Source organism: Homo sapiens, chromosome 17 (assembly GCF_000001405.40).
Source record: "Homo sapiens chromosome 17, GRCh38.p14 Primary Assembly".
NCBI classification, from domain to species: domain Eukaryota; kingdom Metazoa; phylum Chordata; class Mammalia; order Primates; family Hominidae; genus Homo; species Homo sapiens.
In genome coordinates this window covers 58,328,915-58,340,931 of record NC_000017.11, presented here as the reverse complement: position 1 = coordinate 58,340,931, position 12,017 = coordinate 58,328,915, and the positions used below count along the sequence as shown (strand labels likewise).

At 55.4% G+C, this 12,017-nt stretch overlaps 2 long non-coding RNA genes and 2 other non-coding genes across 12 annotated transcripts in view, besides 23 other annotated features; 3 read left to right on the top strand and 1 right to left on the bottom strand.

The window, feature by feature from the left end:
• The window catches only part of TSPOAP1-AS1 (TSPOAP1, SUPT4H1 and RNF43 antisense RNA 1), a 28,278-nt gene that overhangs the window by 12,796 nt on the left and 3,465 nt on the right, over positions 1-12,017 (bottom strand). For 3 of the 9 annotated variants that reach the window (NR_038414.1, NR_038415.1, NR_038416.1), the window contains exon 1: positions 3,253-3,730. This is a non-coding gene — a long non-coding RNA (TSPOAP1, SUPT4H1 and RNF43 antisense RNA 1). Of the gene's footprint in view, positions 1-3,252; positions 3,731-11,267; positions 11,328-11,857; positions 11,995-12,017 lie in introns of those variants that run through there. The other 6 variants (NR_038411.1, NR_038412.1, NR_038417.1 and 3 more) reach the window with 4 other exon arrangements.
• Positions 1,075-1,124: an enhancer, noted in NCBI's record as "active region_12480". NCBI's record gives its function as "activates an Ori minimal core promoter by ATAC-STARR-seq in GM12878 lymphoblastoid cells {active_cell/tissue: GM12878}" and the evidence as "EXISTENCE:reporter gene assay evidence [ECO:0000049][PMID:35858748]".
• Positions 1,565-1,674: an enhancer, noted in NCBI's record as "active region_12479". NCBI's record gives its function as "activates an Ori minimal core promoter by ATAC-STARR-seq in GM12878 lymphoblastoid cells {active_cell/tissue: GM12878}" and the evidence as "EXISTENCE:reporter gene assay evidence [ECO:0000049][PMID:35858748]".
• Positions 1,805-1,864: an enhancer, noted in NCBI's record as "active region_12478". NCBI's record gives its function as "activates an Ori minimal core promoter by ATAC-STARR-seq in GM12878 lymphoblastoid cells {active_cell/tissue: GM12878}" and the evidence as "EXISTENCE:reporter gene assay evidence [ECO:0000049][PMID:35858748]".
• Positions 2,350-2,644: a silencer, noted in NCBI's record as "tiled region #8679; HepG2 Repressive non-DNase unmatched - State 1:Tss, and K562 Repressive non-DNase unmatched - State 1:Tss". NCBI's record gives its function as "weakly represses a minimal TATA promoter and a strong SV40 promoter by Sharpr-MPRA in HepG2 and K562 cells {active_cell/tissue: HepG2 | K562}" and the evidence as "EXISTENCE:reporter gene assay evidence [ECO:0000049][PMID:27701403]".
• Positions 2,350-2,904: a biological region, named in NCBI's record as "Sharpr-MPRA regulatory regions 8228 and 8679".
• Positions 2,610-2,904: an enhancer, noted in NCBI's record as "tiled region #8228; K562 Activating DNase unmatched - State 1:Tss, and HepG2 Activating DNase unmatched - State 1:Tss". NCBI's record gives its function as "activates a minimal TATA promoter and a strong SV40 promoter by Sharpr-MPRA in K562 cells, with weaker activity in HepG2 cells {active_cell/tissue: HepG2 | K562}" and the evidence as "EXISTENCE:reporter gene assay evidence [ECO:0000049][PMID:27701403]".
• Positions 2,875-3,084: an enhancer, noted in NCBI's record as "active region_12477". NCBI's record gives its function as "activates an Ori minimal core promoter by ATAC-STARR-seq in GM12878 lymphoblastoid cells {active_cell/tissue: GM12878}" and the evidence as "EXISTENCE:reporter gene assay evidence [ECO:0000049][PMID:35858748]".
• Positions 3,315-3,384: an enhancer, noted in NCBI's record as "active region_12476". NCBI's record gives its function as "activates an Ori minimal core promoter by ATAC-STARR-seq in GM12878 lymphoblastoid cells {active_cell/tissue: GM12878}" and the evidence as "EXISTENCE:reporter gene assay evidence [ECO:0000049][PMID:35858748]".
• Positions 4,423-4,964: an enhancer, noted in NCBI's record as "H3K27ac-H3K4me1 hESC enhancer chr17:56413329-56413870 (GRCh37/hg19 assembly coordinates)". NCBI's record gives its function as "activates a minimal SCP1, AML or CMV promoter by ChIP-STARR-seq in primed H9 embryonic stem cells {active_cell/tissue: H9 hESC(primed)}" and the evidence as "EXISTENCE:reporter gene assay evidence [ECO:0000049][PMID:30033119]".
• Positions 4,585-4,794: an enhancer, noted in NCBI's record as "active region_12475". NCBI's record gives its function as "activates an Ori minimal core promoter by ATAC-STARR-seq in GM12878 lymphoblastoid cells {active_cell/tissue: GM12878}" and the evidence as "EXISTENCE:reporter gene assay evidence [ECO:0000049][PMID:35858748]".
• MIR4736 (microRNA 4736) lies at positions 4,910-4,956 on the top strand. The gene has a single exon (NR_039889.1). It is a non-coding gene; the product is annotated as a microRNA 4736 (primary transcript).
• Positions 4,985-5,164: an enhancer, noted in NCBI's record as "active region_12474". NCBI's record gives its function as "activates an Ori minimal core promoter by ATAC-STARR-seq in GM12878 lymphoblastoid cells {active_cell/tissue: GM12878}" and the evidence as "EXISTENCE:reporter gene assay evidence [ECO:0000049][PMID:35858748]".
• Positions 4,985-5,610: a biological region, named in NCBI's record as "H3K4me1 hESC enhancer GRCh37_chr17:56412683-56413183".
• Positions 5,110-5,610: an enhancer, noted in NCBI's record as "H3K4me1 hESC enhancer chr17:56412683-56413183 (GRCh37/hg19 assembly coordinates)". NCBI's record gives its function as "activates a minimal SCP1, AML or CMV promoter by ChIP-STARR-seq in naive H9 embryonic stem cells {active_cell/tissue: H9 hESC(naive)}" and the evidence as "EXISTENCE:reporter gene assay evidence [ECO:0000049][PMID:30033119]".
• Positions 5,185-5,234: an enhancer, noted in NCBI's record as "active region_12473". NCBI's record gives its function as "activates an Ori minimal core promoter by ATAC-STARR-seq in GM12878 lymphoblastoid cells {active_cell/tissue: GM12878}" and the evidence as "EXISTENCE:reporter gene assay evidence [ECO:0000049][PMID:35858748]".
• Positions 5,305-5,524: an enhancer, noted in NCBI's record as "active region_12472". NCBI's record gives its function as "activates an Ori minimal core promoter by ATAC-STARR-seq in GM12878 lymphoblastoid cells {active_cell/tissue: GM12878}" and the evidence as "EXISTENCE:reporter gene assay evidence [ECO:0000049][PMID:35858748]".
• Positions 6,635-6,684: an enhancer, noted in NCBI's record as "active region_12471". NCBI's record gives its function as "activates an Ori minimal core promoter by ATAC-STARR-seq in GM12878 lymphoblastoid cells {active_cell/tissue: GM12878}" and the evidence as "EXISTENCE:reporter gene assay evidence [ECO:0000049][PMID:35858748]".
• Positions 7,265-7,354: an enhancer, noted in NCBI's record as "active region_12470". NCBI's record gives its function as "activates an Ori minimal core promoter by ATAC-STARR-seq in GM12878 lymphoblastoid cells {active_cell/tissue: GM12878}" and the evidence as "EXISTENCE:reporter gene assay evidence [ECO:0000049][PMID:35858748]".
• Positions 7,945-8,014: an enhancer, noted in NCBI's record as "active region_12469". NCBI's record gives its function as "activates an Ori minimal core promoter by ATAC-STARR-seq in GM12878 lymphoblastoid cells {active_cell/tissue: GM12878}" and the evidence as "EXISTENCE:reporter gene assay evidence [ECO:0000049][PMID:35858748]".
• Positions 8,095-8,404: a silencer, noted in NCBI's record as "silent region_8766". NCBI's record gives its function as "represses an Ori minimal core promoter by ATAC-STARR-seq in GM12878 lymphoblastoid cells {active_cell/tissue: GM12878}" and the evidence as "EXISTENCE:reporter gene assay evidence [ECO:0000049][PMID:35858748]".
• MIR142HG (MIR142 host genes) lies at positions 8,412-10,044 on the top strand. The gene has a single exon (NR_186557.1). It is a non-coding gene; the product is annotated as an MIR142 host genes (long non-coding RNA).
• Positions 8,515-8,584: an enhancer, noted in NCBI's record as "active region_12468". NCBI's record gives its function as "activates an Ori minimal core promoter by ATAC-STARR-seq in GM12878 lymphoblastoid cells {active_cell/tissue: GM12878}" and the evidence as "EXISTENCE:reporter gene assay evidence [ECO:0000049][PMID:35858748]".
• Positions 9,385-9,524: an enhancer, noted in NCBI's record as "active region_12467". NCBI's record gives its function as "activates an Ori minimal core promoter by ATAC-STARR-seq in GM12878 lymphoblastoid cells {active_cell/tissue: GM12878}" and the evidence as "EXISTENCE:reporter gene assay evidence [ECO:0000049][PMID:35858748]".
• MIR142 (microRNA 142) lies at positions 9,614-9,700 on the top strand. Its single transcript, NR_029683.1, has one exon. It is a non-coding gene; the product is annotated as a microRNA 142 (primary transcript).
• Positions 11,315-11,394: an enhancer, noted in NCBI's record as "active region_12466". NCBI's record gives its function as "activates an Ori minimal core promoter by ATAC-STARR-seq in GM12878 lymphoblastoid cells {active_cell/tissue: GM12878}" and the evidence as "EXISTENCE:reporter gene assay evidence [ECO:0000049][PMID:35858748]".
• Positions 11,495-11,664: an enhancer, noted in NCBI's record as "active region_12465". NCBI's record gives its function as "activates an Ori minimal core promoter by ATAC-STARR-seq in GM12878 lymphoblastoid cells {active_cell/tissue: GM12878}" and the evidence as "EXISTENCE:reporter gene assay evidence [ECO:0000049][PMID:35858748]".

Sequence of the window (12,017 nt, the reverse complement as noted above, 5' to 3'; positions counted from 1 at the left end):
AAGCCTCCAGCTCCTGGGCTCAATCAATCCTCTCACTTCAGCTCCTAGAGTATCTAACAATACAGGTGCGCACCACTCCACCCAGCTCATTTTGGGGGTATTTTTGGTATTTTTTGTAGAGACAGGGTTTCAAATTCCTGGCCTCAAGTGTTCCTTCGGCCTCAGCCTCCTAAAAGGCTAGGATTATATGCGTGAGCCACTGTGCCTGGCCAAGGTTTTTTTAAAATTTTAATCTTTATGTTCTCGTTTTTTATAAGATAAAGTTTGGTTTGGGTTTTTTTTTTGTTTTTTTGTTTGTTTTTCTGTGGTTCTTTTTTTTTAGACAGGGTCTCACTATGTTGCCTAGACTGGCCTTGAATTCCTGGGCTCAAGAGATTCTCCCGCTTCAGCCTCACAAGTAGCTGGGACTACAGGCATGTGCCACTACACCTAGCTTAAATTTTTAAAAATGTGTTATATACTTCCTTGCTATTTGGATACAAGATTCTGAATGTGATTTAACCTGATTTGGTTCAAAGTCATTGTTGTAAACCTCCATTTTTGTATCATGTGGTGAAATGGTTCCGGGACTGACTCTTTTTCTACCTCTTGGATTCATAGCAACCTGTCAGCTGTCACTTCTGTTGCTCATGTGTGGCTGTCCCCCTTCCAGTCTTGTCTGACCTAGGAGAACAGACAGCCACACTTGGTAAAAATTGCTATAGGTTGCACCAATAAGGTTTAGACTGGGGAGAAGAGCACATGGCTGCCTGCCTCAGTCTTGGGGTTTCGAGGCCTTCACCAGTGGGAAGGTGAAATGCAGAGTCTACAGAGGAGTGAAGGCAGACCACAGAACATTAGGACTGGGGGAGTCATGACTTAGGCCAGCCCCTCACTTTTTAGAGGAGAGGACTGAGCCCCAGAGACTGGTCAGCTTGACTTCAGGAGCGGGTCGCTGCTACTTTGTATGTCCTACACTGCCTAGCTCAGTACCTCTTGTCTAAAGATGCTGTGTTTCTCTGCCATAAGATCCCAGGAAGCGGGAACTGAGTGCAGAGAACACTCTGCCTTGTGCTGCTGGTACCAGCATGCCAGATCCTCTGAGAAATAGGATGGAAAACATTTCCCCTCTATGCCTTGGCACTCCCCCATTCTCAACCCTCTGCCTTCCGGGTAGAGGGCAGACATTATGTTGTCCCGATAGGGAACTTGAAGTCCAAGGAACTTTCCTTGGGGGTCTATCTATGGCGGATAGAGGCCTGGGCCTCTAAGAGAGAGCTGGCCTAGCCCATTTTGAAAGCCCCTGTGTGCTGCTTCCGGCCTATGCACTCTTCTTCCTGCAAACTGAGCTCTTGTGTTACAGAGTGAGCGTGAGGGAAGGGAAGGAGCAGCTTCAGACAGCAGGGTAGGGGGACCTCAGTTTCTCTCCAAAATGGATCCCTCATCCCCTTTCCAAACCCAGCAACTACCACCCTTTCAACCCCTTCCCCCATCCCGGAAAATACCTGGAAGGAAGTGAGCGCTCTGGGGCCACTAGCAGGAAGTGGGGGGTTAACTGTCACCTCATCCCTGGGGGCTTGAGTAGCAGAAGGCAGAGGGGGAAATGCAAATCCATGCTTGGGAGGGAGAAGAACTCCTGAGAGGAAGCAGGTGGCAGCCAGAGCCCAGACTTCCTCCTGGGCCAGTGGTCCCAGCAGGGGCTGGAGAGGCCTGAGGCAAGGGAGTTATCACAGGCACTGAACAAGACAGCAGTCGGCCCACCCTGTGCAGGCAGCTGCAGCACTTTCTCTGGTCAGCTGAGTAGACTCACTTCCTCTGCCCTGCACCCCAGAGAGGCCGGGAGATGGAGGGCGGGGTCTCAGGAGGAGGGGTGGGGCATGGTCTGGATTCATGGAAGGTGAGGAGATGCAGGAGAAATGAAGGGGGGTATGTCCCTGGGGAATCAGCTGGAGGCAGGCAGGCATCAGTCTCTTCTGCTTTTGCTTAGGGACTAAGATTCAGGAATCCCTCTGGCCTTGGCACCTCCCCCTACCTTGTTCTAGACACCAGGGGCCAAAATTGAGAACCACATGATATCCTTGCAAAGGGATCGTTTATAGCACCTGGAAACAAGAATCTAAGAAGCAGCCTTTGGCCTTGTGCCTCTACACTAATCATCTATTACATCCCTATGGCAATTTCCAGGTTCAAAATGGGCCACCTCTATTATTGCATTTGACCCTCAGTGCCATCCCACGAGGCAATATTATTCCCCTTTCACAGATGAGAAAACTGAGTTTCCATTACATCTCTCGCCCACAGTCAGTGGCCTGGTGAAGCTGCACTGGTGCTTCAGCCTTTCCCCTTGCACAACGCTGCTGTCCCTATGGCCTCCCTTCAGTTCTCCATGGCAGATGGGGATCCAGGGCCCATAACTGGGGCAGGGGCATGGGGGTCCTCCAGGTTTCCCTTTTTCTTCCTTGAACCCCATCCAGCCTGCAGGTGGGGCTCTGGGGTTGCAGGTCCACTGACCTTAGTAACAAAGGCTCCTTGGGGGTGAGGGCTTCCATGCCTCCTGTGTTCACCCACCCTGGGACCCCTCGAAGAGGTGCCGGGACCCCTGACACCCACCCCCATTTTGTCCCAGGCTTCTCACCTCCCCCTCCCCAGAGCCGCAGCCCCATGACGCAGCCAGCCGCTGTTGCCCCATTGGCCCGCCCTAGTGCATTTGCCCTTATTTGGCCAGGCCAGCTCCAGGCTGGGTCTCCACCCCCGGCCCAGCCCCCGCAGGCCTGTCTCTCTCACTTCGTCTTTTTGAGGTTTGGCTCTGGGGCTCTGGGGCTCTGGGGCCCTGGCGGGCGTCACTTCAAACGCACTTTCTGGTTGAGTCACTTTTTAACGGCTCCAGTGCTGTGAGCTGCTGCTGCTGCTGGGTCCCTGGCCTTGGGGGCCAACCCTCCCCCATTTGACTGCTTAATAGGCTCTGAAGGAAAGGGCTGGGGAGGCCATCTGCTGCTGGAGAGACTCTGCGGGCCACCTGGCCACCCAGTTAGGCCCCTCTGCCCCCCAACCCACAAGCCTGGGCCAGAGGGTCCGCCCTGGGTCGCTCCCACTGCTTTTTCCAACGGGGTTGTGAGGGGAGAACAGGTCTTCACAGAAGACCTGTTCTTTGGGGACTTTGAATTGAGCTCCCTCTGGGGAACAGAAACGGGGTGCCCGATTTTCAGGAAGGTGAAACTTAACCTCGCTGAGTTTCCGGTTCCTCATCTCTGAGATGGGGATACCATCACTTACCTCACTGGGTCAGCATGACGATCAAGCGAGATTCAGATTGAGTGTGTTTCATCAAGTTCTCTAGCTGCCTGGGCTGCCTCCCTTCCCTCGGCCCCGAGTGCAGAACGTGGAGGTGAACGGGATGAATCCAAGCTGGTTCGCAGGGCAGTCCTCACTGAGCAGTCTCTTTCCAACTCTCACCACCTTTTCCAGCTGGTCCTGGGATGTGAGGAATCCTGTTGGGGGCAGGAGGCTGGCAGGAGGAAATAGATAGCTCTTTGCCCCTTGTTTCCAGACAAGATAAGGGGAGAATTCTACTAGAGCCATTCCTAGCCACCCTGCCTTCTCTGCATTTTGGGAGGTGTGCCCTCGAGCCAGCTGAGAAGATACCATGGCTGCCTGGGGGCTGGGCAGGATTTGGAACACAGATACTGCTGCTTCCTCCTGCGAGGTCTCTGGGCTCCTGTGCTCTTGGGGACTTCCTAGAGCACAAACAAGTCTTTTGGTCAACTCCCTCCCCATTTTTATAGGTGAAGAAACAGGCTGGGGTTTAGGGGCAGATTCAGTGACTGGCCCAGAATTGTACCATAAATAATCACAGGGTGAGGATTAGACCCCTAGTTTCTTGACACTTAATTTTATCCTCTGCTTGGTGATCCTGATGTTGGGATAGGGAGTGGGGCTGATGAGGGATTGTAGTGGGTTCCAGGCAGAAAACCAGCTCTTGGACCCCCTCCCTGTCCCCGCCACACATACACACACAATTTATTTGCAGCAGTTGGAACTGGAGCAGGTGCAGCTATGCAAGTTAAACCCAGCACCTGTGTGTGGAGAGAGTCCAGAGGGAGCTTTCATCTCTCCACTTGTGTCCCCAGAAGATCCCAGAGGAGAAAGCTTCTGGTTTCACGGCCACTCCCACAGCAGTGGTCAGGGTAGCCTTCCTCACACCCACACCCCCTTTCCACCCAGCCCGTCCTGCCTTTTCCCAGATGTTGTGGAAAGAACCCAACTTGGCCCTAACTTGTTTTGTGACCTCAGGCTGCCTTCTGCCTCTCTCTGGGCTTGCAGCTCTGTTTCCTGACTCGGGACCAGTTGCTGCCTAACCTTGCTGCTTAAAAGTCCTTGGGTCTTATGATCCCAGGAGATCTGAGCCAGAACCCTGCCCCAGTGCGAAGTGACCTCCTAGTGTGGGCCACTGTGCATTGGAGCTGCCCCTTGCCAGACAGAGTAGAGCAGGAGAGTATGAAATTAAACCTAGGGGAGTCTGGTACGAGCAGGCAGGGGCTGAGGGGCAGCCAGTTTGCCCGCCCTCCTTGCCTGGAGGCCCTTTAGCACTCCTTGTGCTCCCAAGGCTCTGAGATGAGACAGATCTTCTGAGGTGCTGAGATGATCTCTGTAGGGGACATGGGCTGTCTTAGGTTCTTAAGGCACTTGCCTCTCTTGGCACCTGCTTCCCTTGGCTGCCCCTCCAGGGAGATGGGGAAGGGTCTCAACATTTGGGACTATTGACTCCAATTTGCTTTAGCCCCATTTTGCAATGCTAGGGGCTCAGTTTCCCTCCTTTGTGGCCAGGCCTGTCCCCAACTGTAGCTTACTGGAGGGCGGGTCTGCTCTGCCTTCTGGACTTCCTGTTTGTGAGTGGTTAAGTCTGTGGCTTCTCTCTTGTTGGCTCTTTGTAAGGCAGGTTATCTGGGCTGCCATCTCCCACTGGCTGCTTGCCTGCCTGTGAGTGAGGGCCCCAGGCCCATGCAGATGGCAGGGAAGGGTTGGTTTTCTTTTCTGCCTTCATGTGCGGACAATGAGCTTGTGTCATTTCTTCCACCCTCTGGGCCTGCTCTCCTTACAGGCATTAGGCCTTCAAAAGACAATTTTCTCCCTGTTTCTCCTCCTTGCCCAATCTCTCCTTCTAAACCCTCTTCCACCTGTACTCACATTCTCCAGGAAGCCTTCTCTGATGGGACTCCTGTGACTCTAAGGTTGCTACTACAGCATCCAACATCCCAGCCCCTTGGGCCCTGGCAACTGCCACCTGGGATGGCCTTGTGCCTGTTGCCGTTACTATGTTAAATGTAGATGTGTGTGTCTACTTCACCCTCAGATTCAGTGCTCACTAGAAGTAGGAACCAAGTGTCCCCATCAGACCTGAAGCTCTGCCCCTGCTTTGGGTACAAGACACTCACTTGCACTGACACACACACTCGTACACACTGCCTATCAGGCTGGGAGTGCCCAAGGACAGGTCCTGTGTCCTTTTCTCTGCCGGCTCACCTTTGCCTACCCACAGCCTCAGCTTGGCACACAGAGATGGTTGTCCCCCAGGTCGGTAAGGTGGGGGTGGCAGTGAGGGACCATGAGCCTGGAGCCCTCCAGGATTCCAAGCCCAGATCCCTCTATCCTGATGAAGGGCTGTTCCCACCTTGTTCCTGCCGCCCCCGCCCCCTACTTCCTCTGAGCAAGAATCTGAATGTCAGAACCAGGGAGGGCCGTGGGGGACTTTTGACAGCAAGTCCAAGTGAGCCAAGGTTGCCCAGTGACAGCCTGCTTGAACCTGGATCGGCCGCCAAGGAGGCGGAGTTTGAAGTATCAACTTGAACTCCTCTCTCCACAAAGACATCAAGGGTTTGGTTTTTCTCATCCTGGGGAACTCAGGCAACAGGTGGCTTTGGAGGCAGGAGTGGGAGCCAGGCCACTCTCACAGAGGTACTTATGTTCTGAATCCACCCCCAGCTCCTTCCAGTCACCCTGTCAAGCACTGGCCCCAGATTCCCAGGTGACCCTCCCTGTGTCTCTTGGGGAGGACGCAGGTGTGTCCAGGAGTGTAGATAGGCCTCCTCTAGGTGTGTGTACAGGACTGCGGGGTGTGTCGGCGACAGCGTGTCTGTGTCTGAATGTTTTGGGCTCTCTGGGCCGCTGTGTCTGCATGTGTGTTTCCATGCAGGCACTGGCTGCTCTTCCCTCAGGCACCTGCTGGTCAGTCACACAGGCCACGCATCTGGGTGGTGGCAGCCTACGTCAGGCTTCGAGTCCAGCAGCCTTGTTCCAGTCACAGGTGGACGGCCCATTCCATGTATCCTAGCCATTCTCACAAAGTTTCTTATTGTCTCTGTATTCTTATTTTAGACTCTGCCCCTTCCCCTGTCCTTGATTTTGTCTCTGGCCCTGTACCATTTCTTCTGGTTTGAGGCCCAGCAGAGTCGGGAGTCATCGCTGGGCTGGGGAAAGTCCAGGTCCTCATTCCATCCTTCTTTAGCCCCAGCCTCGGGATGGGAACCAGCAGAGGGCCTAGACTATCCAGAAACCCCCTGACCCCAGAAGCTCCGTTGACAGAGAAGCTGGGCCCTAAGCTCTCTTCTCAAAAAAAGAAAATAGATAAATAAAAATAAAAACTATTGGTGGTCTTTAGGCATTGAGGTTGTACAGAGAAAATCAGCCTCTGTTGTCACAAGACAACAGGCAGCAGGGACACCTCACCCTGCTCAGGACAGGAGAAGGGCTAGATTGGAGACTGTTGGAGCCATGTGTGTCCCTTGGAACCTCAGCTCTGACTCGCCACAGGTCACATGCTGAGGGGTCTATGGCATAGCTGGGCCCAGAAGCCGGGCTCCTGGGTCCCATTCTGTGACTCTCTTTTGTGGGGACAGGACGCCTCTGAAGTGAGGGCTATGGAGGCATCATAAGCAGGAGTAGGAGGTAAGATGCTCTCAGGGGAGGAGCCCTGAAGAATGGGGGTCCAGGAACCCAGGTTACTGCACAACTTTGATATTCTTATCCTCTTATCGCCTGGGGCAGCCACTTCCCCTCCACCCAGGTCAGAGGCAGCGGTGGTCTCTTAAAGGAGTATCGCCCCATTTCTGGCCAGCTGGCCCTGCAAGGCAACCCTCCTCACCACTTTCTCTTTAGACTCAAGGGGGTGAAAGGCCCCATTCCCCCTTTCTCTGTCCCATTTTAGGGACCTGGGAATGGGGCAACTTTCCAGGTTGAAGGACCCCCTTCCTGGAGGGAAGGATGTGGGGCCATCTCCCTCCCCACTGCCCCCATGCCAGTCCTCTTCTAGGCCCTGAATCTGACAGCTCCCTAAGGTCTGTGTGGGCCTAAACGGAGGACCCAGAGAAGAGGTCCATGGCCTTCTGGGAAGGAGTCACTGGGTGGTTTTCTCTCTACCGCTCCTACCTCCCCAAACCCATTCCTCTTGCTTCCAGAGCCAAGCCCATGGAGAGGCTTGGAGAACGCTGGGGGAAGATGGTATGGGCTGGGCTCAGCCGACGCTGTCCCCTGCCCACCCCCACACCCTACTCCCCTCCCCCAGCCAGGGGCCCTGGGCTGGGCAGCTTCCTGCCTTCCCCATGGGGAAATCGGGGGTGGCATGCAGGTGGGTGGGCCCCATGCCCACATCCGGTGGCCGCCAGAACCTTCCCTCGAGCCTCTTTCCCGCCACTCCTCCAAGCCCCCTTCTCTCCGCATAGCACCTGTGCCCCACCTTAGGACCTGATCCTCACCCAGCTCTGCCCTGCCCTCTTGTCCCCACAGGTCCCAAAGAGAGCGTGAACACCTAGCCTAGTGCCATCAGTCCACCGGGCCTGAGAGTGTCCCCCGCACTGTGCCCTGCAGGCTGAGGCTGCAGGAGGGGTGGCTTTGTGGGGTGCTGAGGACAACAGTCTCCATGGACGCCCTTCATGCATCAGCACCTCCATGGCCCTCGGGAGCACACGCAGAGGAGCCAGGGCCTGGCCTGAGTGTTGGGAAGGGAAGGGAGTTTTCTGGGCTGAGGTCAGCAGCGGTGGGGCTCAGAGAGAAGGTCCTTTTCTTGTGCTGGAATTCTGGACTCCCCGTTTTGGGCACTCACCGAGGGCCCTGTCGAGGAGCCCTGGTCTTCTGGGGTCACCCTCAATGCCCTGAGTCAGTCCCAGGCTCTTGAGCCATCCCTTGGAGCTGGTGCCACGGGGGGAAGGGCAGCTGGGGCCGGAAGCCACCTGCCCAGGGCATGAGAGAGGGTCCCCAGCCCTCCCGCGGGCCCACCCCCTTCTGTTTCCTGTCAGTCTGTCCTCCCCAGGGAGGGAGGGAGGGAGGGCGCTCATCCCCTGCGGGCGGGGGCGGGGCGCGCTCTGAGACCGTTGGGCGCCCTGAGATCTGGCCCACGTGGCCTCGGGGTTATAAGCCCTGCCCTCCCTGAAGGGAACCCCACTTCGGAGCCTGGAGCACAGGGCGAGCTCTCCTCCGCCCTGCAGCCTCAGGTAAGGATCCGGACCTTCACTGCTGCCCCAACTGGGGCTCCTCAGCTCGGGGCCTCTAGGGGCTTGGGCTGCTGGTCTGGGTGGAGGCGCGTTGGGGGTGTCGAGGAGCTTGGGTGCAAGCCCCATGCGGGAAGCTCAGGGCAAAGCGCCTTGAAACCCTCTCTAGTGAAGGAAGGTAAAATGGCTCCGGGACCCCAGGCGGGGAAAGAGGTGTCCAAGGAGGAGGGCTGGAGAGTAAGGCGGGGATGGCAGAGGGTACGCAGAGGCTGAGAAGTGGGACCAGTGTCTCAAGGGGCGCCAGCCTCTTCCTCCGCCCAACATGGCCACCATTTTTGTTGGGATAGCCTTGGGCTCCTGCCAGGGGAACAGCAGGGCAGTGAGGGAGTCAGGACTTTGGGCTGGTGGGGAGGCCGAGAATCAAGGCTCTGGGGAGTCAGGACTTTGGGGCTGGTGGAGTGGCTGGGGACTGAGGCCCTGGGGGGTCAGGACCTTGGGCTGCTATGGAGGCTGGGACTGAGGCTCTGGGGGAGTCAGGACCTTGAGCTGGTGGGGAGGCTGGGAATTGAGGCCCTGGTGTGTTCAAGACCTTGGGCTGGTGGGGAGGCCAGGGCCTGAGGCCCTGGGGGGTCAGGACCCTGGGCTGTTGGGGAGGCTGGGGACTTAGGCCCTGGGGGGTCAGGATCTTGGGCTGGTGGGGAGGCTGAAGGGTGGGGACTGAGGCTCTGGGCAGTCAGGACCTCACGGTTGGGGTGGACTGGAGACCAAGACCTTGGCAGGGGAGCTGTGGCTGCCTCATTTGGACGCTGGAGGGTGGCTAGCGTGGCTGGAAGCGGCCAGCCAGGGGTTCACAGAACTGAAGGTGAGGCCTCCAGAGGCCCTAGTCTCTACCTGAGTGTCTCTGAAACTGGGGGGATGGGGTGGAGCCTTTAGGGGGAAGGGAAGAGGGAACTGAAGAGGAAGTGGGGGAGGGAGGTAGAGGAGGCAAGTCTGGCGCCATGCTGAGTCACCGCCCACAAGGCCCAGGGCGGGCCCTCGGGGGGCCCTGGCAGGGTTGGGGGGATCTTAGGAAGCCACAAGGAGGGCTGGGGGGCTCTTGGAGCAGGAGTCAGGAGGCCTGGGCAGCCTGAAGAGTACACGCCGACGGACAGACAGACAGTGCAGTCACCCATAAAGTAGAAAGCACTACTAACAGCACTGGAGGGTGTAGTGTTTCCTACTTTATGGATGAGTGTACTGTGGGCTTCGGAGATCACGCCACTGCTGCCGCCCGCTGCCCGCCACCATCTTCCTCGGCGCTCGGGGACCTCGTGTGACAGGTGAGCACCTTACGGCCCCTCCCTACCCTGCCCAGATGCCTGAAAGGCCTCCATGGCTTTCCTGCCCTTCCTGGTTCCGGACAGCTGGGGAAAGGCCACAGCAGCTCCTCTGCTGCCCTGCAGTCTTTGGGGGCGGGGAGGGCTGGACATGTGGAACCCTGATGCAGCCGCAGCGTCAAGGACGAGGAAGGGGTGGGAAGGGATGGTACGTGGAGGGGAATGGGTGGTGGGACCAGGGACCCAATGCTAATAAAGACTGGACTGTGCTTCTCTTTTGTCTGAGACTCTGTTGCTGGGGTGGGGAGCTGAATGCGGGCGGCAGGCACATGGACAGTATGGGCGCACAGAAGGGCTGGGAGGGAGAACCTCTGTCGCTCCTCCAGAAGATACGGGTTTGGCCCTGCCTATGAGATCAGAAGAGGGCTCTGGGCCTGGCCAGGCCACAGCCGGAGGAGAGAAGGGCCTGGGCCATCTGCAGAAAGGGGCAGGGATGTAAGGCATCCTCTCACCTTCTACCCTAGCTCTGGCCCTATCCTGCCCCCCTACATACCCAAACTGAAAGCTGCCTACATCCAGTTTTAATCTAAGAAAGTCTAGGGGGTCCTAGGTCATATAAAAATTGGGCAAAATCCACTGTGGCACATACACAGCATCTTAGACAAGGGCACAGACACTCATATACAAAGCACACACTGAGATGCAAATGCATTTACACACAGAGGCCCCATTCAGTGTGCCAGTAACACACACACAGACACATGTGACATGACTGGCATGACACACACAGGGATTACACACACCCAGGGCACATACATATTCAGTAGTACACACATGCAATGATAGAAACATAGGGCGTGTCTTACACATAGAAGAGCACACACATACAGTGACATTTGCATAATAAACACGGTGGCTCCATACACATACATAGATAGAGACATGTTCATATATCATGATAAATATAGAATACATAGATACATGGTGATATATATATATAAATCAAACCATGTCATTATGCATATTTACATGACGATATGAGCATGTCATATATTGTGTAATCAATTACTACATTGTGCCATATAGTAGCATCCATATCTATATATATCATGATGTGTTGTAATTTATAAACTCATGCAATGATAGCCTCCCATGCACATAACAGCACACACATAGACACAGTGGCAAACAAACATAGATGCAATGACACAGAAACATACATACAGATACACCCAATGTGTTTTTGTTACGTTTTATTATGTGACTCATAGACACATAATAGCACACACATATATACACACAATGGCCCCTTCACATATACAGAAATAGATAATGTCTATTCTATAGATGCATACTATACACACGCATGCGCATAATGGCATGCATATATACTCTGACCTAAACAGCAACACATCATGCAGTGGCGTGCGTGTTGACCTACACACTGCTTTAGGGAAGTGAAGATGTCCACTCCTCCCCATGCACCCCCTACCTCCAGTTCCATTGGCTCTTGCCTGGGTGGAGCCCACAGTCAGGGGCTCTAGGGTTCAGTATCACCGCTGCTATTCTGTGGGGGTGCCACACGAGGGCCCCCGACCTTGGCTGAAACTGGCTTGCCTAATGAGTCCCGGGTTCAGAGTGGAGAGGGGCTGCCTCTCGGGGCTTCTCCCAACACCCCTGGCTCTGGGGACTCTGTCTAGACCCCTGCCACTGCATATAGACTGACTCCTGGCTGAGGGGATTCTCACGTCCTTGTCCCCCAAATTATTTAGCAACAAGATCTAAGGCTAGACAGAAGATGAACTTCCAGGCAATTCGGGACAAAGCCAACCCAACAGGCCATGTGGGCTTCCCTGGTGGCCTGGGACAGCCAGGTTGCCCCCCAAGTGCAATCTGCCAGGAGGAAGCAGAAGGAATTCTCCGTCTATTTCTACCTGTCTCTTTGCTTGTCTTCCCGGTTTCTTTCTCTTGGTTTCTGTCTCTCTCTTTGTTTCATCTCAAGTCCCATCTTTTCTAGTTCTGCCCTTCTCTGTGGCTGGATCTCTGTCATACCCTCCCCCGTTCTGTCTCTATCAGTCTCACCCGATGTAGGGAGGACCATCTGCACCCCACTCGCCTCTGTACTCCGGAAGGTGTGAGAATGTGTGAAGATGAGGGTGGGAGGCCACATGTGGGAGCCCTGGGCTGACATGCCGTGAGAAACCTGCTCTTCCTTCTGTCCCCGACCCTGTCAGCCGGTTCA